Source organism: Homo sapiens, chromosome 2 (genome assembly GCF_000001405.40).
Source record: "Homo sapiens chromosome 2, GRCh38.p14 Primary Assembly".
Lineage (NCBI taxonomy): Eukaryota > Metazoa > Chordata > Mammalia > Primates > Hominidae > Homo > Homo sapiens.
In genome coordinates this window covers 110,148,898-110,172,105 of record NC_000002.12, presented here as the reverse complement: position 1 = coordinate 110,172,105, position 23,208 = coordinate 110,148,898, and the positions used below count along the sequence as shown (strand labels likewise).

The 23,208-nt window shown below is 38.0% G+C and overlaps 1 protein-coding gene across 11 annotated transcripts in view, besides 2 other annotated features; it reads left to right on the top strand.

Annotated features, from left to right (window-relative positions):
- The window catches only part of NPHP1 (nephrocystin 1), an 81,666-nt gene that overhangs the window by 32,908 nt on the left and 25,550 nt on the right, over positions 1-23,208 (top strand). For 3 of the 11 annotated variants that reach the window (NM_001128179.3, NM_001374256.1, XM_005263677.2), the window contains 8 exons: positions 2,108-2,300; positions 3,553-3,654; positions 6,951-7,054; positions 7,376-7,418; positions 8,974-9,058; positions 10,409-10,503; positions 11,851-11,979; positions 21,850-21,924. In NM_001128179.3, coding sequence (NP_001121651.1) covers positions 2,108-2,300; positions 3,553-3,654; positions 6,951-7,054; positions 7,376-7,418; positions 8,974-9,058; positions 10,409-10,503; positions 11,851-11,979; positions 21,850-21,924 — 826 coding nt within the window. Of the gene's footprint in view, positions 1-2,107; positions 2,301-3,552; positions 3,655-6,950; positions 7,055-7,375; positions 7,587-8,970; positions 9,059-10,408; positions 10,504-11,850; positions 11,980-21,849; positions 21,925-22,252; positions 22,325-23,208 lie in introns of all 11 variants that reach the window. The other 8 variants (NM_001128178.3, XM_005263676.2, NM_001374257.1 and 5 more) reach the window with 4 other exon arrangements.
- Positions 4,049-4,550: an enhancer, noted in NCBI's record as "NANOG hESC enhancer chr2:110925133-110925634 (GRCh37/hg19 assembly coordinates)". NCBI's record gives its function as "activates a minimal SCP1, AML or CMV promoter by ChIP-STARR-seq in naive H9 embryonic stem cells {active_cell/tissue: H9 hESC(naive)}" and the evidence as "EXISTENCE:reporter gene assay evidence [ECO:0000049][PMID:30033119]".
- Positions 21,669-22,868: an enhancer, noted in NCBI's record as "P300/CBP strongly-dependent group 1 enhancer chr2:110906815-110908014 (GRCh37/hg19 assembly coordinates)". NCBI's record gives its function as "activates an origin of replication core promoter dependent on BRD2, BRD4, P300/CBP, MED14 and CDK7 cofactors, with strong dependence on P300/CBP, by STARR-seq in HCT116 cells {active_cell/tissue: HCT116}" and the evidence as "EXISTENCE:reporter gene assay evidence [ECO:0000049][PMID:35650434]".

The window sequence follows — 23,208 nt, the reverse complement described above, 5'->3', positions numbered from 1 at the left end:
GAAAATCTTAAAAGTTCTACTAAAATATTTACTAAAGAAGTTGAATCTGTAATTAAAAGCCTTTCCACAGATTAAACTCTCAGGTGGCTTTACTGGTGAATTTATTGTAAACATTTAAGAAAGAAATAGTGCCAATATTAAAAAATCATTCCAGAGAACAAAGAAGAAACACTTTCAAATCATTTTATAAGCTTTCAATAACACTGATATCAAAACATGACAAGAACACTAGAAGAAAATTGCAAGGCCCTCATGAACACATGCACAAACTCAGTATAAAATATTAGCAAGTAAAATCTAGAGGCATTTCAAAAGGGTAATACATCATGACCAAGTGGAATTTGTTCCAGAGTGTGAGGTTGGCTTAACATTAAAAAATCAATCATTGAAATTCACTACATTAATGAAGGGGAAAAACCGTTATCAAGTTCACATTATTTTCGGCAACATTTTAGAATAATTGACCCATATAAAATATGTGCAAAATATCTCCTAAAGAAGGAAAGAGACGCGTTGAAAATCAATATGACATTTTATGGATTTTTTAGTCTTGTGGTATAAAAATGGTTGTTACATCCCTGTTTATGTTTTAGATCATTGTGGTATAAGAGTGTCCTACCATTATTTTAAACAAAGTTCAGCTAATATTCCTTTTTATTCCAGAGAAAATCTTGTAGTTGACTAGTTTTATAGTTAATGATGTTCATTTGCATTAGTCTAAGTATTGTTTTCCCATTTTAAAGATAAGCTTCTCTCATGTAAGCTTTAGGAGGGCAAAGATCTTGGTTTTGTTCATTGTTATAGCCCAAGCACATAGTGTCTGTCACACAGTAGGTGCTCCCCAAAATTTAAACTTTGCTGAATGTTGAATGAGTAAATAAAATTCAGAAAGATTTAGTGACGTGCCCAAGCTAACATTATTTTGGCATTTCTCTCTTCCTCACCCTCAGATTCACCTCCTTTCTCTTCATCCCTATGCTGTTTTCTTAGTTCATAGTGTTGTCACTTCTCACTTTCAACAGCCACCCTCACCTTTAGCCTTTCTTCTAATCTGTTCCCCACATTATACCTTTGTCTCCTTTCTAAAGTGGGAATCATATCATGTCCTTCCCCTACTCATTTTTAGGGGCGACTTTAAAGGTAAAGCTCACCTGGGCTACATTCCGCGTACCTCTTTTCAGCCTCAACTCTCACTCATTTTCCTTAAGCCTTGCCCTACCATTCATGAGCTACTTGATGTTTCCTAATCTTAAATCTCCTTTCTCCTCTCCCTGCCCTTCCTTTCTACTCCCATTTTACCTGATTAATTCCATATCATCTCTCAAGACCTAATTATAGCCTTTTATGATTCCCATTCGTGCAACCTGGGTTAGGTGTCCCTCTTGTGTGATTGATTTCTTAGTATCCTGTGTATACCTCTACTCTAGTACCTATTGCACTATTTTATAATTCTCCATTTTCTAGATTGTCTCACTGCAAGCTCCTTGAGGATGGGGAATCATGTCTGGTTTACCTTTGTGTCCACTGTGTATCTCTCTGACACGGAACTTGACCTACAGCATCAGTGTCATCATCATAACTGACTTTTATGGAAAGCTTGCTATGGGCAAGCACTGTTCTAAACACTTTGCAAGTAGTAACTCATCTTAATCCTCATGACAATCTTAGAAGGCAGGTTCTATTATTATCTCCACTTTACCAATGAGAAATGGAGAGCTTAAAAGAAGCCTACTCAAGGTCACCCAGCAAAGAGGGAATAGAGCCAGAATTTAAATTTAGCAGAGCCTATGCTCTAAGTACTTCATAATAATGCTTCAACAGCATTTTCTGAATGGATGAATCCAAGACTTGAATTCGGAGTCTCCTGGCCTCAAGTCCAGTGATGCTCTGCCATCTCACATACATGACTCAGCTCCCTCTCCGCCTCAGTCTCTCCAGGCACACGGTCTTAGCTAGATGGTAGAAACTGTTCTTTGTATTTTCCCTTATTTCTTTTATTTGCCAGCTCCAAATATGGGATATTCATGTATATGTAGAAGTTACACTCATAGCTGGTCTGTTCTTGTATATTATTTCAAGTAGTCCTACTCAGAAACACTTTTTGTAGAGTTGGGGCACCTACTGAAGAAGAGGAAGAAAGTGAAAGTGAAGATAGTGAAGACAGTGGTGGGGAGGAAGAAGATGCAGAGGAGGAAGAGGAAGAGAAAGAGGAAAATGAATCTCACAAATGGTCAACCGGTGAAGAATACATCGCTGTTGGAGATTTTACTGCTCAGCAAGTTGGAGATCTTACATTTAAGGTAGGTAGAATAAGACTGAAACCTAACCTAAGGGTCGATGTCCATACCTAACAGAATAAGAAAACTCTGCCTGTACACCTGTATTACAGATTCTTAAAATGCAGTTTTATAACAATCTATTTAAATAAGTAATAATTACAATTTACAAGCAGTAGTAATATGAGATTGTGTTACTAAAGTTACCTCTTCTAAAGATTTTTGAAAGTAGCTTTAATGTTGAGAATTCCTAATTTAGGGGTAAAATTTTATAATTTGTTATTGAATGTCATGTATAAATTCATTCAAGTGAGTTAGGCAATGTCCATAGGTGGAGGTAGAAGGGAGCACTTCCTGCCATTTTGTAGCAGTCTTTCCTGTTAGCTTAGATATGAGAGGGGCTTACATCCATGCTTGGTTGGCCTGGGCATAAATAAGTGGCAGGTGGGACAGAACAATAAAGTTGTGATTTTTAAAGTTGTGATTTTGAGCCTGTGTTTTCTGCTAGAGAAATGAGCCAAAGAAATTTAAGTGAATATATGAATTTTAGTTCTTATATTAAACTTCAAAGTTTAGTAACTGATTAATAATAAAATACATAAGAATATTATGCAAATAATTATATGGTTTGATTTATAGATTTTTTTTTCAAATTCTCCTGGAAAATGGTATCAATATTAGACAATAATGTATATTTTAATTAAGTGTTTGCTTTTGTAGTGTCCTTAGTGGTGGAAATGCTTTTGTCTTCAAAGATGAATTTTATTTTTATAAATGAGTGAGTGTTATTCAAAACATATCTGGTGAATTAAGTGGGTAATTATATTCAGTAAATACTATTTTTGCTCAAAAATAGGGTTTAACTTTAATGGAATTGATATTCTTTGGGAATTTATATGCTGCTTCTGAAAGACACTTTTCCAGAGATATTAAAACATTCAAAAATATTTTACGCAGTAATTGAATTTTTGGAATAAGTATGGGGCCTTAAAAATGATTGTGAAAAATGGTTCCCATTTGCATAAATGGCTCAAGTGTATGTTAGGTAACCAAAAGGAATGATTCATTAAACTATGTCACATTTATGGTTTTAGGTGAGTTAGGCAGAATACATAGGGGTCGGGTGATAGGGAAGCTTTTGATAAACCTTAGGATAAATATTGGATTAAAAAAAGATTTTGCCTTTTTTTCAGCACATATTTTGAATCATTGGTATTGACATATACTCATGATTATTGAATTTTATTTAAAATGGTTTACTTTGTTTTGCTTTAAGAAAGGGGAAATTCTCCTTGTAATTGAAAAAAAACCTGATGGTTGGTGGATAGCTAAGGATGCCAAAGGAAATGAAGGTCTTGTTCCCAGAACCTACCTAGAGGTTAGTCTTGGTTTATGCCTTCCTTTTCTAAGACTTTTTTTTTTTTCGCTTTTAATAAAACATTTAGCTGTGTTCTTTTGTCAGTTGACTAGTGAATGACTTGAGATATAGAATTTGCTTTAATTTTGGAGGGACAGGACCTGGGAAAAACATTGTGTATTAATGGTCCTGGGGACCTGTGAAGTGCTCTTACGCATGTGAGCCCTGGAACGTGATCTCACAATGAGGGGATGCTTTGTGGATTAATGCTGATCATAACAAATAATAGGTGTCTATTGTTTATTGTAAAACATAACTGCAGTTAACTTTGTGTTAACTTCCACAAATATGTGATCCCCTTACTAAAATGTGAACATACTATACATGTGTGTTTGTAGCTTGTATTTTCTTATTTCATAAAATAACATGGTCATTTTCTGTGCCAAGATATATAGATTTCTGTCTGGATCAGCACTGTCCAGTAGAACTATGATGCAAACCACACATGTAATTTAAATTTTTCAGTAGCCACACTGAGATATCTTTTTGCTGATGCCACTTCTGACACCAAGTATGTGGTTTTTCTCTGACACCAAATATGTGTTATTACATCAGTTCTTCTACACCAACCGGTGTCAGCAATTCAATTCGATTCTGATGCTAATGCCTGGAGCTAGCACAGACCCCCACAGGTTAAAGGCTCAGTCCCACAAGATTGCTGCTCACTTCCGTTGCCAGTCACAAGTCCCAAGAGCCACCCATACTTCTGACTGACTGGCTATACATTCACGAGTTCCCATACCATCACCTCAGGGGTTCAGTAATTTACTAGAATGATTCACAGAACTCAGGAAAACACTTTCCTTGCATTTACCAGTTTATTATAAAGGATGCAACTCAGGAACAGCCATAGAGTGAGGTATTGGTTGGGGGTGGCTGGCATGCACTCTCTGGGCCTTCCACCTTCCCAGCACTTCGCTGTGTTCACCATCCTGGAAGTTCCTGGAACCCCATCATTTAGGGGTTTTTCTGAAGGTTTCATTAGCCATGTTTAACTAAATCATTAGCAATTGGTGATTAACTCAGTCTCCAGCTCCTCTCCCCTCTTTGAAGGTTGGAGGGTGGGGCTGAAAGTTCTAACCTCTAATACCTGGGTTGGTTTTTCTGGTAACCTGTCCCCTTCCTGAAGCTGTTTAGGTGCCCACCTAGAATTACCTCATTAACATAAACTCAGGAGTGACTGAAGGGGACTCTTGATGAGTAAGAAAACATACTCCTATCATTCAGGAAATTCCAAGGGTTTCAGGAGCTCTGTGCCAGGAATCAGTGACAAAGAACAAATACATGTTTTTCATTACACACATTTTTAAAAAGTAAAAAGAAACAGGTAGAATTATTTTTAATAATATATTTTATATTATCCAGTATATCAAAAATACTATTTTGACATATCAATATTTAAAAATATTGAGTTGTTTTGCTTTTTTAACATTAAGTTCAAAATCCAATGTGTGTTTTACATTTACAGCACTTCTCAGTTTGGATTAATTTCAAGAGCTCACTAGCTACATGTGGCCAAAGGGCTATTGTATTACATAGGGCAGGTCTAGATCATCTTTTTCAATGGCAGCAAGTCTTCTAATCTCATTTAGATGGTCATTGAAGTTGTTTCCAACCTATAATCACTATCGATTATGTTGCAAAGAACATGGGATTAGCATCCACTGTCAGTTGCAAAAAGATCCCCCCAAAAAGTAGCTTAAATAAGGTAGAAGCCTATTTCTCTCAAGCATAAAAGTGTGGAGAAAAGCAATCAATAATTGGTTAAGATCCTATCCAGTATTTTATCCTGTTTCTGATGTGAGGCTGCTCTGCCTAGAGTTATCTCTTTAGTTTTAAGTCAGCTGCTGGATCTTTTAAGGATTCCAAGGAGCAAAAGGGGAAAGAATTCAAAAGGCATAAGCTGCTGCCTTTTTAAGAAGGTTTCTTGGAAGTTACACAAAAAAACTTTCAACTGTTGCTCATTGACCAGCATTTAGTTCTCTGGCAACAGTTAGCTGCAAGGAAGTCTTGGGAAATGTAGTCTTTTAACTGGATCATTGTTAAATCAGGGATTTTGTTTGAAAAAGGAGGTGGGGAATAGGTGGTAGCCAGCCAGCAACTTGTGTTGTCATCAAGCCTGCGTGCATCTTTGCACACTTGCCCGATTATCCCCTTAGATAAATTCCTAGATGTTCATCACTGGTTCAAAGGGTTTATAGCTTTATATTTTGATTTATTTTTCCAATTTGCCTTTTAGAAAAGTTATGCCAATTTGTACTCCCACCTCTAACAATCAGTGAGTGCTGTTTCCTCACACAATTGCCAGTGATGGCTGTTAGCAATCTTTAAAATTTTTGCCAATATGACCAGCAAAAAAAGTGTCATTAGTGGTTTAATGTGCATTTACTGTACTCCTAATGAGGTTAAGCATCATCTCATATGCTTTATGACCATTTGTATATCTTCTTTGCGAATGGCACTTTCGGTTTTCTTTATTGATACATAATATTTTATGTATTTGTGTGAGTGCTTTTTACTTGTATGGATTGTGTAATAATCAAGTCAGGGTATTTGAGATTTCCATCACCTTGAGTGCTTATCATTTTTATGTGTTGGTACCTTTTCAGTTCTTTTGGATATTTTTTTCTAAGGGATTTAAAAAACTCTTTCATTGATTTCTAAGAGCTTTTATAATATTTTAATAATCAGGATATTAATCCTTAGATATTTGTGTGAGCTATTTTCTTTTTTTCCCCTCAGGATATGCTTAAGTTATGTGTTAGATATTTTCTTTGTTGACTTTAGGTCATGTTTATTTATTATGTAGCTAAATCTGTCAGTGTTTCCACTTATGATTTTTGATTTTGTATCATGATTGGAAAGGGCTTCCCCATCTCTAGATTATTTTCTTCTAATGCTTTTATGTTTCTTTTATTTTTATCTTTACGTCTTTTCTTTTTTATTTAAGTAAATTCCATCTGGAATTTATTTTGATTAAACTTGCTGTCTATCTCAGTTCTTATTTTTTCAAATAGCAAAGTTATTAACCATGTGTTGAAAATTTATTTCCCACTGAGTTTTATATGCTCATCATATATACTAAATTCCCATCTATGCTCAAGATTTTCTGAAAGTACTGATGCTTTTGTTTTTTTGTTTTTAAACAGAAAAGCTTGTTTTTGTTTTTACTGGAGGGTTAGGTGGCAGTACTGGTATTTTTATTGGTTGTTTTTTGCATTAGTTAAAAAGCACTTCACATTTCAATGGTTTTTTAGCCTTATAGTGAAGAAGAAGAAGGCCAAGAGTCAAGTGAAGAGGGCAGTGAAGAAGATGTAGAGGCGGTGGATGAAACAGCAGATGGAGCAGAAGTTAAGCAAAGGTACAAAAGTGGGAAAGGATATCAAAGTAGGTTTAGGAAACATTTTATTTGTTTATTTTTATTATTATAACTAATTCAATACTTTCTTGAAATGGAGACAACTTGTACCTGGAGAGCTTTTCATACTATTGTCTGCTTAAAGATCATTACTGTTTTAGTTTTGTAATTATTTTTAATACATTTAGCTCTACCTCGTTTTCATCTGGAAACTGTTAGATTTTCAAAACTTACTGATGATTATCAACTGTGATTAAAGAAGTTCCCTAATTGAGTGAATAGGCATAACCTGACCTGACTCACTTTGCTATTTTGTCTCCCCAGAACTGATCCCCACTGGAGTGCTGTTCAGAAAGCGATTTCAGAGGCGGGCATCTTCTGTCTTGTTAATCATGTCTCGTTTTGCTACCTAATAGTTCTGATGCGAAATAGGATGGAGACTGTGGAAGACACCAATGGATCTGAAACAGGGTTCAGGGCATGGAATGTACAGAGCAGAGGACGTATATTTCTGGTTTCTAAGCCTGTGCTCCAAGTAACATTTCTCATTAGTTTTTTTTTTTTTTTGTACAAAAAGAATAGATAATTCATGGTGTCACTTGAGGACTTGGAAACATTCTCATTGATCCTGCTTTCCTATCATTTGAGTGGAAACAGATGTTAAATTTTATTTACTATTCGAAAAATCCTGAAAGCCTTTAATAAAAAGTAAGAAATTGGCCAGGCATGGTGATTCACACTGGTAATCCCAACATTTTGGGAAGCTGAAGCAGGAGGATCACTTGAGGCCAGGAATTCAAGACCAGCTTGAGCAACATAGTGAGACCCTATCCTACAAAAAATAAGAAAAATTAGCCAGGTGTGGTGGCTCATGCCTGTAGTCCCAGCTACTCGGGAGGCTGAGGTGGGAGGATTGCATGAGTTTGGGAAGTCAAGGCTGTAGTGAGCTGTGATTGTGCCACTGCACTCCAGAGCATGAGTGACAGGGCAAGACCCTGTCTTAAAAAAAAAAAAGTAATTAATTACATTTTTTTAAAGGAGAAATGATCCATAATTCTGTCATTAAAAAAAAATTACAGGCCGGGCACAGTGGCTCATGGGCACAGTGGCTCACACCTGTAATCCCAGCACTTTGGGAGGCCAAGGCGGGTGGATCACCTGGGGTCAAGAGTTCAAGACCAGCCTAGTCAACACAGCGAAACCTCACCTCGACTAAAAATAGAAAAATTAGCTGGGCGTGGTAGCGCATGTCTGTAGTCCCAGCTCCTGGGGAGGCTGAGGCAGGAGAATTGCTTGAACCTGGGAGGCGGAGGTTGCAGTGAGCCGAGAATACTCCACTGTACTCCAGCCTGGGCGACAGAGTGAGACTCCGTCTCAAAAAACAAAAAAATAATTACATAGCCAAATGAAAATTCTCTTCCTCAAACTCATAAGTAATCACCATTAACAATTTAGTACGTGTCCTTCCTGACCTTTTTCGTTATTTATTACTTATAAGTACATCCTTGTATGTGTGAGGGTGTGTGTCTATGAGTAGTGTGTATGTGTATACAAAAAAAATCCATTAATTCTTCAGTGCATGTGATTTGCCAATAGACATTAACTTACCTGTGAAATGGAAGCGCAGGGTGGAGCAGGACAGGAGCAGGGACATTTTGATAAGGGTATACTTGAAGCAGCTGCTCCGGAACACACAGCTCTGCACGCTGGGCACTGTATGGGGCTTAGGTCCTTAGGAGAGGCCAGGGTGCTGTGATGGCATCCTCTCAGGAATTTGGGGCCAAATCGTATTATTCTTCCACTAAAGTCTGTATGTTTATATTTTTCTTTTTTGGGTTATAGTTACTCTAGTGATAAAGTATTATAGAGATGCAGAAACATGACTGAAAACAAATCCATTTTGATGTTACTGTCTTCAGCAGATAAACACTGTTGATGTGTTAACTACGATGGGAGCTATTCCTGCAGGGTTCAGGCCTTCCACGCTCTCACAGCTTCTGGAGGAAGGTAATGCGTGCCTATCAGCCACTGCACTCTTTCAGCAAAGCAGTCAAGATCCACGTCTAATTTTTCTGTCACAGGCAAAACACATTGTTGAAGAAGATGTTGAATCTCACATCTCTTTGGTGCTCATCTTTTCCTCATCCTTCCTATGACAGTGAGGAAAGATCCCTGATCCTATCAGAGGCCAGCCTGTTTACCAGTGCTCCGGGTTCCAGCCCCTTTCTTTTTTTCAAAAATGTGACTCCTTTAATTTTCAGCCCTTTCCTGTGTCTTTAGCTGGCCCACCTTCCCCACACTGGTTCATTCCCTCATCTGTGCTATCAGCACACCTAATTCTCCCCACCTTAAAGGATCAGCCCCTTGAATCCTATCCCATTCTAGCCAAAACCTCCTTTTCTCTGATCTTCTTCCAAGCAAGACTTTTCCAAAGAATTATCTCCATTTGGAATTTTCATTTTCCTTACTCATTCTTGGCTTTCCCTGTATTTGGCAACTTTTGTCTATAAGCTCATTTTAAAGAGGATTCATGCTGGGGGACAAGGGGTGTCCTGTATACCCTGAGTTGTTGAGTTGTCATGGAAGGGCTGCTTTGAGGATGCCTTTGCTGGGAAGGTTCTTCCCAGTACTCCCTAAATTCCCATCTTTTCATCCTTCAGGTCTCGCGGTAAATTCTGCCTTCCCAGAGATGCCTTCCTTGAGTAATGTGGGTTTCCCTTACTCCCATTCATGTGAACACCCTTTATAGCTCTATGTCCCCTAATAATTATTTTATTTATTTGCTTGTCTACTTATTTTCTAAGAAAATTTTCCTCCCATTCAACTGTAAACTATGGAGGGCAGGGGACATATCTCTGATTTATCTTTGTATTTCTAGAACCTGGTGTAGCATCTGGCAAGAGTAGAAGCTCAAAAATTATTTCTCGAATGGATAAATGATGTTATTAAAAGTATTATTCATGACTAAAGCATGGAGGAAGAGCATAAAATGCTTTTGTGTTAAGAAGTAAAACTAACGACTTTGTTTTTTCTGAAGTCTCCAAAAAGTGCTCATAGATTTCTGCATTTTACAAAAATATTTGAATGAATCCTTGTCATCATGGGGCATATTATTGGCCTAAAAGTCTTTCTTAAAGGTGCTTTAAGATGATCTTTTATGTGTTTGTATCTGTAAGTTTTGTACTGCTGTTTTTATCCATAAATCTATATTGGCGCTTCTATTTTGGAAAGCAAGTTCTTAGTAAGCAGCGTGGCATTTTGGAAGTGCCTGTACTCTAGTTCATAGCATAACATTATGGATTTTTGATTTGGAGTTTCTTTCTTTGTAAGAAAATGAAGAAAAAATGATTTTTTCAGGGAATCAATTTCGAGCAAATTACTTCTTACAACCAGAGCTCATGCCTTCACAACTGGCCTTCAGAGATCTGATGTGGGATGCTACAGAAGGCACTGTAAGTATAGTTACTATCAGTAAAAGTGTAACTCTTCCAGATTTTGTCATAGTTGCAATTAGACAAACAACATGTTAATTGACTAATGAATTATAAAAAACAAAAAAATTGTTTATGATAATTTTGAAAATAGCGATATTTTTATAACTAAGGCAGAATTTGGACTTGCTACCTTGACTTTATCTTGTTTCTCTTCTCCATTGCACTCTTCTCTCATTGTTAGAAAGGAAATAATACTAGGTTTCTATCTTAATCATTCTTTGCCTCAATTTCTTCATCTGTAAAGATGGAGTAATAGTAATGCTTCCAACATAAAGTTATTTTGATAATTATGTGTGTGAAGGGTTTTGAATAATGCCTGGCATATGAAAAGAACTCAATAGATGTTAGCCATTATTATCATTTATAGTAGTAGTAGCAGTAGTAGTAGTATTTTTGAGACAGGGTCTCCCTCTGTCACCCAGGCTAGAGGGCAGTGGTGTGATCATGGCTCACTGTAACCTCAAATTCCTGGGCTCAAGCGACCCTCCCACTTCAGCTTCCTGAGTAGCTGGGGCCACAGGCCTACACCACCATGCCCAGGTAATTTTTGTATTTTTTGTAAAGATGGGGTTTTGCCACGTTGCCAGGCTGGTCTCAAACTCCTGAGCTCAAGCAATCTGCCCTCCTATCCCTCCCAAAGTGCTAGGATTACAAGTGTGAGCCACCAGTCCCAGTCTAATATAAGTTATTTAAATGAAAAGGCTTATGACCGTAAAGCAGAATGTAAAGTTTAATGAATTGAAGCTGTTCTTAAAAAATAAAAAATCAGAATGCCAATTTATTTACTCACAATCTGAATTATACCTATGAAGCAGATCTGAATAAATATATCAGATAGTGCATTCTCTCTGTTAAAACACCTATTAAGAAACTAAGGAACTATGCAGATAATTGCTTGGAATAAAAAATAGTGGGGATAATCTTAATGCCAGGTGGCATTGGTTTTATGCTGCGTTAGCCTTCTGCACTTACCCACATTCTGTAGGAGTGAACCGGGACTGGAATACAGTGATTCTATAGTCATAGATCATATACATTTTGCCTGCCAATATTTATTGTTCCTTTCATCACAGCTTTTAAGTATTTAAGAAAAATGCAATATTTCAAATGTAACTCTATGAAAAATTTACCTAAAATGACTGATTTAATTTTCAATGAACAGAGTATTGAAACTTTTATTGTATATGTGTAAATTTTTTCTTTTTTAAAAATTCTGTATACATTTTCATAAGCCGAATTCACAAAAGACAGATTTGTGTTAGAAATCATAAAAATAAACTTTTTTATAACTAATTTTTCTTTCAGATTAGGTCGAGACCAAGTCGTATTTCATTGATTCTGACATTATGGAGCTGTAAAATGATTCCTCTTCCAGGAATGAGCATACAGGTTCTCAGCAGACATGTACGCCTCTGTCTATTTGATGGTAATAAGGTAAGGTTACTGAGAAGTAAATCAATTCATACTAGGATTATGGAGAAACATTCCCTTAGATTCTTTTCCATTCAACTCCTCCCCAATTCCCAAGAGAGTATTTTTTACCTAGTACCAAAGAAAAATTTGAATGACTCTTTGAAAAATTCATTTTTTAAATGAGATACAGGTTAAACAGTACTTAGATGGAAATTTATAGTTTTAATTGTGTATATTAAAAAAAAGATAAAAGATTTAAAGTCAGTGATCTAAGCTAGCAAATCAAGAGGCTAGAAAAAGAAGAGTGAGTTAAACCTGAAGAAAGTAGAAAGTGGGAAATAATACAGATAAGAGTAGAAATTAATGAAATAGAAAACAGATGGACCAAAGAGAAAATTTTAAAAAAGACAAAAGTTGATTCTTTGAAAACATTAATAAAACTGAAAGATGCATAGTGAGACTATTAAGACTTTTTTAAAAAGTAAAAGAAAACAAACTATTAACATCTGACATGGAAATAGAGACATTATCACAGATCCTTCAGACATTAAGAGGCCAATAAGGAGATATTATAAACAGCTTTATACCAGTAAATTTGACAACATTGATGAAATAGATAAATTCCTGGAGAACCATAATTTACTGAAACTGGCATAAGAAGAAATAGAAAATGTGAATAACCTCTGGTAAAGATATTAAACCTATAATTAAAAAAAAATCTTGCCACAAAGAAAACTTCAGGCCTAGGTGGCTTCACCTGTGAATTTCTTCAAACATTTAAAGAAGAAATAATACCAATCTTATACAAATTCTTCCAAGGAACAGATGAAGGAGAAATGTTTCCCAACTTATTTCATAAGGCCAGAAAAAACATGACCCCAGAATATGACAAGACATTACAAGAAAGGAAAATTACCAGACAGTATCCTTCATAGATATAGAAAGTAAAATTCTAAACAAAATATTATTAAATTGAATCTAGCAATATATAAAAAGGACATTATGTCATAACCAATTGGGGTTTATTTCAGGAATTCAAATGTACATTCCTGGGTAATCACATTTAACATTTGAAAATCAATCATTATAATTTGCCATAAGAAAAATCATATGATCATCTTAAGAGGTAAGGAAAAAACATTTGACAAATTTCAACACCCATTTATGATTTTTAAAAAATTATCTACAAACTAGGAATAGAAGGGAGAGTCCTCAAATTGCAAAATGCAACAAGAAAAAACCTAAAACTAGCATTATCTTACTTAACAGTGAAATACTGAACACTTTTTTCCTAAGACCAGGAACAAGTCAAAGATATCCAAGAAATAAAAAGATAACTCAGTTTTCTAAAGGGACAAAAGACTTGAATAGCCTCTTCAAAAAAGAAGTATCAAAAACCACTAGAAGTATAAAAAGATAGTCAACATGTAAGAAGTCATCAGGGAAATGCAAATGAAAACCACAGTGAGAGAGACTGACCTATATGTTATATATAAGAAGCCCACCTTAAATATTATGCTATAGGTAGCTTAAGAGAAAAAAAGGATGAGAAAAGATATACCATTCAAAGTAGACTTCAGGCACTACATAGTGATAAAAGAGATCGTTCACCAAGAAGACATAGTAATCCTAAGTGGGTACATACCTAACATCTGAAATTTAACACACAAGAAATAAAAATGGTTAGAACTGAAAAGAGAAACCGACAAAGTCACAATTATAGTTGGGGCCTCTATTATAGTTGGGGAGTTTAACACTTCTCTCTCAGTAATATAGGACAAGCAGACAGAAAATTAGTAAGGATGTAAGAGAACTGTATAACATATCAACAAACTGGATTAGATTGATATTCACATAACACTTCACCTCAAAATAGTAAAATACACTTTCTCTTAAGTACATATGGAATAGTCACCAATATAGACGGTCCTGGGTCAGAAAACAAACCTAGACAAATTGAAAAGAATTGGAATCATATAATATATGGTCCTTGATTACATGGAATTAAATTTGAAATCAGTAACAGGAAGATAAATGGAAAAATACTTAAATACTTGTAAATTTAAAAACTACTTCTAAATAATCAAAGGGTTAAAAGGAAATTTCATGGGAAATTAGAAAATATTTTGAACTGAACAAAAAATGAAAATGCAACATATCATAATTTGTGGAATGTTAGCTAAAGCATTGCTTAGAGGGACATTTATAGCACTAGATGCTTATGTTAGAAAAGAATTCTCAAATCTACAGTCAAAGCTCCTTCCTGAGAAGACAGTGCTGCTTGAGCTGATAACGGTCAATGTGAAATTAAATGAGTTAATGTAAGGGAAGTTATCAGAGTGATGTTATACATGGAAAGAACATAGTTCTTTCAAAGAGTGTCTGGATGAGAGGTGGTGATGATAACTTAGAGAGGTGGAGGTGGAGATGAGAGATGTGGATAGAGATATCTGGGAGTAAAAATCAACGAAGCTTGGTGATGGACTGGATATGGAGGAGAGAGGAGGAGTGGGGTATAGGCATGACACCTAGTCTCTGACTTCCGCATCTGGATGGATGGTGGCAACATTCAATGAGATGGGGAACACTGGAAGAGGACCACGTTTGGAGGAGTTGACATGGGCTTGGTTTTGCACATGCTGAGTATACTGCTAACCCCCAGCATGAAGAAAATGCCTTTATTTCATCTGAACTTGGGGTAAAGAAATGAACTTATGTTATGACGGTAATCCTCCCTCACTTCCATAATACATTCTGCACAAAATCACTGCCACAAATGAGCCAGTAGGTGTCCTCAGTGACCAAGAGCTGAATTGGTTTCTGTTTCATACATCTGGTTTGATACTTTTTCCTGTACCTCTCTGTGTTCTCATATATAAGAACATAAAAAGGAATGGAATTTTATTTTCAATAATATATCAAAATAATGAAATTTACTTTATGAAAGAAATTTATGTGAGATTTCCAAATTGAGAGTTATGGAACATATTTAATAGCTGCACAGATACTCGTGCTGTTTATGTAAGAGTGCTTCTTTAATAAATCTAAGCCTAGTTATGAATAAAAAGCATTGGGCTGGGCGCAGTGGCTCACGCCTGTAATCCCCGCACTTTGGGAGGCCGAGGCGGGCAGAGCACATGGTCAAGAGATCTAGACCATCCTGGCCAACATGATGAAACCGCGTCTCTACTAAAAATACAAAAATTAGCTGGACGTGGTGGCGTGTGCCTGTAGTCCCAGCTACTTGGGAGGCTGAGGCAGGAGAATCACTTGAACCCAGGAGGCAGAGGTTGCAGTGAGCCAAGATTGCGCCACTGCACTCCAGCCTGGTGACAGAGAGAAACTCTGTCTCAAAAAAAAAAAAAAACAGAAACCAAAACACATACACACACACAAAACCAAAGGCATTGTTGCCAAAACTAACTAATGAGACACAACTTCCAGTAATGTTTGAGTCAGCTCCTCTTGGACCACCCCACCCAGAGAGGGTAATTGTAAACTCTGGGCAAAGTAAAAAGCAACTACCTGAAGGCACTGCAGAGCATTCAGAAGCAGGCAGACACTGGAGAGGAGCCTCAAGCCTTTAGTCCACTGATTTATTTTTTTTCTCTTTGTTTTCTCTCTTTTTTGTTTGTCTCTTTTCTTTTTCCTATCTTCCTGTATTAGTTTGTTCTCACGCTGCTGATAAAGACATACCCAAGAAAGGGCAAATTACAAAAGAAAGGTTTATTGGACTTACAGTTCCGCATGGCTGAGGAGGCCTCACAATCATGGCAGAAGGTGAAAGGCACATCTCACATGGTGGCAGACAAGAGAACAGAGATTGTGCAGGGAAAACTCCCATTTTTAAAACCATCAGATCTCATGAGAATCATTCACCATCATGAGAACAGTGCAAGAAAGACCTGCCCCCATGGTGGCATGTGCCTGTAATCCCAGCTACTCAGGAGGCTGAGGCAGGAGAATTGCTTGAACCGGGACCTGGGAGGTGGAGGTTGCAGTGAGCCGAGATCATGTCACTACACTCCAGCCTGGACTACAGACTGAGACTCTTGTCTCAAAAAAAAAAAAAAAGAAAGACCTGCCTCCATAATTCAATCACTTCCTACTGGTTTCCTCCCACGACATGTGAGAATTGAGGGAGTTACAAGTCAAGATGAGATCTGGGTGAGGACACAGCCAAACCATATCATTCCTCCCCTAGTCCCTTCCAAATCTCATGTCCTCACATTTCCAAACCTATCATGCCTTCTCAACAGTCCCCCAAAGTCTTAACTCATTTCAGCATTAACTCAAAGTTCACAGTCCCAACATCTCATCTAAGATAAGGCAAGTCTCTTCTGCCTATGAGCCTGTAAAATCAAAAGCAAGCTAGTTATTTTCCAGATACAATGGAGGTACAGGCATTGGGTAAATGCAGCCATTCCAAATGGGATAAACTGGCCAAAACAAAGAGGCTACAGGCCCCATGCAAGTCCAAAATCCAGCTGGACAGTCAAATTTTAAAGCTCCAAAATGATCTCCTTTGACTCCATGTCTCACATCCAGGTCACGCTGATGTAAGAGGTGGGTTCACATGGTCTTGGGCAGCTCAGCCCCTGTTGTTTTGCAGGGTATAACCCCACTCCTGGCTGCTTTCATGGGCTGGCACTGAGTGTCTGCAGCTTTTCCAGCAGCACGGTGCAAGCTGTTGGTGGAGCTACTGTTCTGGGGTCTGGAAGATGGTGGCCCTCTTCTCACAGCTCCACTAGGTGGTGCCCCAGGAGGGACTCTGTGTGAGGGGGCTCCAACCCCACATTTCCCTTTCGCACTTCCCTAGCAGAGATTCTCCATGAGAGCCCCGCCCCTGCAGCAAACTTATGACTGGACATTCAGACATATCATACATCCTCTTGAAATCTAGGCAGAGGTTCCCAAACCTCAATTCTTGACTTCTGGGCACCTGCAGGCTCAATACCACATGGAAGCTGCCAAGAGTTTGGGCTTGCACCCTCTGAAGCCACAGCCTGAGCTTATCTTGGCCCCTTTTAGTCACAGCTGGAGTGGCTGGGACACAGGGCACCAAGTCCCTAGACTACACACAGCATGGGGACCCTCGGCCTGGCCCATGAAACCATTTTTTCCTCCTAGGCCTCCTGGCCTGTGATGGGAGGGGCTGCTGTGAAGACCTCTGACATCCTCTGGAGACATTTTTCACATTGTCTTGGGGAGTAACATTTGGCTCCTTGTTACCTATGCGAATTTCTGCAGCCGGCTTGAATTTCTCCTCAGAAAATGTGATTTTCTTTTCTATCGCATTGTCAGGTTGCAAACTTTCCAAACCTTTATGCTCCACTTCCCTTATGAAACAATGCCTTTAACAGCACCCAAGTCATGTCTTGAGTGCTTTGCTACTTAGAAATTTCTTCCAACAGATACCCTAAATCATCTCTCTGAAGTTCAGAGTTCCACAAATCTCTAGGGCAGGGGCAAAATGCCACCAGTCTCTTCACTAAAACATAACAAGAGTCACCTTTTCTCCAGTGCCCAACAAGTTCCTCATCTCCATCAGAGACTACCTCAGCCTGGACCTTATTGTTCATATCACTATCAGCATTTTTGTCAAAAAGCCATTCAGCAAGTTTCTAGGAGATTCCAAACTTTCCCACATTTTCCTATCTTCTTCTGAGCCCTCCAAACTGTTCCAACCTCTGCCTGTTACCCAGTTCCAAAGTTGCTTCCATATTTTTGGATATCTTTTCAGCAACACCCTACTCCTGGTCCCAATTTACTGTATTAGTTCATTCTCATGCTGCTGATAAAGACATACCTGAGACTGGGCAATTTACAAAAGAAAGAGGTTTACTGGACTTACAGTTCCACGTGTCTGAGGAGGCCTCACAATCATGGCAGAAGGTGAATGGCACCTCTCAAATGGTGGCAGACAAGAGAAGAGCGCTTGTGCAGGGAAAACTCCCATTTTTAAAATCATCAGATCTCATGAGACTCATTCACTATCACAAGAACAGCGCAGGAAAGACCCATCCCCATAATTCAATCACCACCCACTGGATTCTCCCATGACATGTGAGAATTGTGGGAGTTACAATTCAAGATGAGATTTGGGTGGGGATACAGTGAAACCTATCACTTCCTGTGTGTCACTTGAGCATTTTTTTTTTTTTGAGATGGAGTTTTGCTTTTGTCACCCAGGCTGGAGTGCAATGGCGCAATCTCAGTTCACTGCAACCTCTGCCTCCTGTGTTTAAGCACTTCTCCTGCCTCACCCTCTCTAGTAGCTGAGATTACAGGTGCTCACTACCACACCCAGCTAATTTTTTGTATTTTTAGTAGAGATGGGGTTTCACCATGTTGGCCAGGCTAGTCTTGAACTACTGACCTCAGGTGATCCACCTGCCTTGGCCTCCCAAAGTGCTGAGATTACAGTTGTGAGCTACCGCACCCGCCCCACTTGAACATTTTTTAGAACTCCATTCTGAGTTATCTGTAGTGTTGATGAGTGTATCTTTTTGGCTAGTTTCCTTAGTGGTTGCTTCTAGGTATTAAGTTTATACATGCATAGCTTACCACAGTCTACTAGTGTTAACATTCCAGTTGGAGTGATGTATAAAACCTTACCTTCCTTTAGTTCTTTACTTTCCCTAGCTTGTAATATAGTTGTCTTAAATATTTCCTCTACATACATTAAGAATCTTATCACACAGCACCAAACATAATTTGGAAAACCTGAAAGAAGATCCATAGTATTTACCTATATTTTTACTATTTCCATTGTTTATTCTTTCTTCCTGATGCTCTAAGAGTCTTCTTTTTATCATGTCCTATTTAGAGAATCTCCTTTAACCATTCTTTTAGGGTAGGTCTGCTGGTGACAGATTTTTAGACTTTATCTGAGATTGTCCCTGTTTCCTCTTCATTCCAAAAGGATATTTTAATTAGATAGAGAATTCTGAGTTGACAGTTATTTTTGTTTGACACTTGAAAACTATTGTGTCATTTCCTTCTGTTCTCCGTGGCTTCTAATGAGAAATTCATCATCATTCAAATTGTTTTTTTCCTGTTGGCTAACCTAAATGCTGTTTCTTACTGTTTTCAAGGTATTTTCGTTGTGTTTCAGTTTTCAGAAGTTTACGGTGTATCTGGCATGAATTTCTTTGGTTTACCCTGCTTGGGGTTTGCTCAGCTTCTTCAATCTATAGGTTTATGTCTTTTGTCAAATTTGGGGATTTTTTTCAGCCATTATTTTCTCAAATACCTTTGCAACTCCAATTATTTCTTCCAGTGCCGTTTCCCTCTATCTAGTAGTGTTGTGGTTTTTATTAACAGTACATCACCCTCCTCTCCCAACCCCAGTTCAGAACCAGATCTTGACGTAGAGTTTAGAGTTCTTGATCTAAGATGATGTCAGATATGTCACTGATCCATTAAAAGGCCCACTTGTTGACATGGTTCTGCTTCTGGTGTCATGGCTATGTCTTTGTCCTCCTACTTGCTTAGGCTCACTACTTTTTATGAGAAGCAGGGGCAACCTTTTTTTTTTTTTTTTTTAACCCTACTGGCTTCCAGCAACAATAAAGCAATATCTATTTCTCTATCATGGGGTGATATATAGCATACAAATCCAGCCCCTTGCTACCCCATGCTCCTTCTGGACTCAGAGCCCAGGAAACCTCTAGTTTTTGTCTCACTTTACTCTTCTATCTTCTATTTGTGGTCCATTGACATATTTATCTTACTTTTGGGTATTACTCTGTCTTTTTAACTATCACTGCTTCATTGCTTCATATGTGGAGCAGAATGGTTGTGTTGAAGCATAAACTGGTTGAGAAGTTCTTGTACATTCTTAGAAAAAAAAAAATAGAGCCAAGGTTTCACTATGCTGCCCAAGCTGGTCCCGAACTCCTGAGCTCAAGCAATCTCCCTGCCGTAGCCTCCCAAGTAGTTAGACTACAGGCACGAGCCACTGCACCCAGCCCCTCTTGCGTTTTTAATGCAGTTTGCTGAACGAAATCTCTGTAAATTATTTTGACTCTTCAGTTCTTCATTCTTTGGGTCTGGTTTTGCACAGAAAGCAGTGTGATTCTAAGCCAGTCATTCACCCTCTGTGGCTGCAGTTTTCTGAAATGCATAGTGAGATGGTTGGACTAAGTCCTTTTTAGTTCTTAGAGTCAATATGTCAAGAAAGATATAAAATTATCAAACAGAAGAAGTTACTCTTGATTCCAAACTTCAAAATTAGGATTCTCCAAATTGAAAAGATAAAAGCAGAGGTAGTATAGGATTTCAATTTTGATTATAGCAAAGGACTTCTTGGCCATTAGAAGTAGAAAACATTTCTTGAAAAACGAAGAAGAACCTTAGAATAACATGCAGTCTTACAGTAATCACAAGGTAGTAATTATAAGGAGTTTGTATTCCAAGAGTCCAGGTGGTAAATATACATAATTTCAGGAAAAGTTTAAACATATATATATTAGCAATCGAAGGAAGTGGGATTTTGTTAATGTGGAAAACAATCCAGCTGCCCATAAAATACTCCTATATTCCTACTACTAGGGATGTGGAATACAGTGAGTGGAATTTGACCTAATATAACACATTTGGGATTATTTTAAATTATCATTTTAAAGCTTTGTTTTGGAAGTGTTATAATAAAATATTTTCATCTAAAATAAAAATTAACTATTATCCATTCCTTTGGAAGATGTCAATTTTGGCCATAACATTTTAGAATTTGAATTCTTCATTCCATAAATCCCTTTGTGTTTCATTGTTTTATGTAAGTTTTATGATGAACTTCTTGCATAGAGCATTTTATAAGAGATTGAATTTCAATAAAAATATAATTTATGGGCCTAGAGATCTTGAGGAAAAATATAACTGTATCTGAACTATTAGGACTGTCTGTCTTAGTGACAGAGTAATGAACTGCATGTGAAATGCTTGTATGGGTCACATCTTTTTTTTTTTTTTTTTTTTCTTGAGACTGAATCTTGCTCCATCGCTCAGGCTGGAGTGCAGTGGTGTGGTATCAGCTCACTGCAACCTCTGTCTCCCAGGTTCCAGCGATTCTCCTGCCTCAGCCTCCTGAGTAGCTGGAATTACAGGCACACACCACCACACCCAGCTGATTTTTGTGTTTTTAGTAGAGACAGGGTTTCATCATGTTGGCCAGGCTGGTCTCAAACTCCCAAATTCATGTAATCCACCTGCCTCAACCTCCCAAAGTGCTGGGATTACAGTCGTGAGCCACTGTGCTCAACTGGGTCACATCTTTTCTTTTAAAAGACCATTTTTTTGCTGGGTGCAATGGCTCACACCTGTAATCCCAGCACTTTGGGAGGCCGAGGCAGGCAGATCACCTCAGGTCAGGAGTTCGAGACCAGCCTGGCCAACATGGTGAAACCCCGTCTCTACTAAAAATACAAAAATTAGCTGGGCGTGGTGACAGGGACCTGTAATCTCAGCTACTTGGGAGGCTGAGGCAGGAGAATCACTTGTACCTGGGAGGCGGAGGTTGCAGTGAGCCTAGATCATGCCACTGCATTCCAGCCTGGGCGACAGAGCGAGACTCCTTCTCTAAACAAATAAATAAATAAAAGGCCATTTTTACCTAAAATTTCAATTACTTTTCTGGCAAACCTATCTCAGATATTAAGGAATTCACTTAATATAATTTATTACTAGCATAGGAGTCCAACTCTGAATTCATTTATGTCATACCTGATATAAAAAGAAAAACATTACAGAATTACATGAAGTAAAAAGTGAAAGTTCTCCCCTTGCCATCTTCCTCACTTAGTGTAGCCACTGTTAACTCTTTGGGACATGGAAATGGTGACATTTCAAAGAGCTTTTTACATGATTTCAAAAGGGAAAATCTCATTTCAGGTTCTGAGCAACATTCATACAGTCAGAGCCACATGGCAACCTAAAAAGCCCAAAACATGGACCTTTTCTCCCCAGGTAAGTAATCTGCTGAATGAGTGGAGTGAGTGAATTTCAAAGTAGAACATATTCATATTTCTATAAATAGCACAGAGTATGTGGGAACAGATATAAATCTTTAGATTCTTTGGTGTTCTTTGAGGACATTGATAAAAATTACTCATGTTTCTGACTCACCAATGTTAGTAATTCCTATGAATCATCCCATTCAATCAGTTTCAGGGTTCATTTTTAGAAAATTCTCATTTGATGAAAAATGAAAACATAAAGATAACATTTAGGAAGTGGGGTGTTTTTCAAAGATGAAATCTTCCAACTGTGCTAATAAAAGCTGTGCTTTCTTCAGATAAAGTCAGGGATGACGCCTGAGGGACTGCTACATTACACCCACACACTGTCAAGACTGGAATGGCATTAGGTGGGTTTAAACCACTGAGTCAGCATTGCATAGACGTAGGGAGGACAAAGATGTCTTCGTGTTGTTTTTATAGTATCAATTGTCCATATTTTATTTTACATTACTTTCGTCTACCTCCAAGGTCTCATTAATTTAGTATTTACTTCCTTCCCACAGCTAACTCCCTTGTATAACTGCATCCTGAAAACCCTTAGTTACCTTTCCTCTTATTGCATCAAAAGATCTTAAGGCAAGATGGAGGTTCAGTGAGAGGGCTCAGGGTGTGGATGAGGCCAGCCACCTCAACTGTGTGCTGTGCCTGTCCAGACTTGTCGAGAGCACACCTCCTAAAAGTCCATCTTGATCTTCTTAGCACCCTTCCTCTGGTGAGAAGCATGGCCTCTCTTTTGGCACAGTACTTCACAATTCTGTTATTGCGTCTCTGTGTATGTGAAGAGTTTAGGGTAGAATTTTTTAATGTTTTTCCTGGGGTAGAAGGAAGAACTGTTGGGAGTATGTGTTATTCTGTTGAATGAAATTAAACATCAGTTATGTGCAAGCATTTTTTCCTAGGCACGTGGAAACTTTTTCATGCCAGTGAAGTTCCTATTCCAGCAAAATTAGTAGGGGAAAATACATACATGAAGAATAACAATATCATCTACTTATGGAACCCTAACTGTGTGCTAGGCCCTGTGCCAGGCTCTTACGTACATTACCTTATTTAATCAGAGTAGCCATGTGGGGCAAGTACTGTTGGTAACTACCACTCAGGCAGATTGTAATGGCTTTGGAGCTCCAAGTGCTTTGGAAGCACACAGGAGGGTAAAGTTAATTCTAGTCCTTTGGCTCAGGGAAAGTTTTCTAGAAGAGAAACTAGATCTTGAAGGTTGGATAGATTTTAC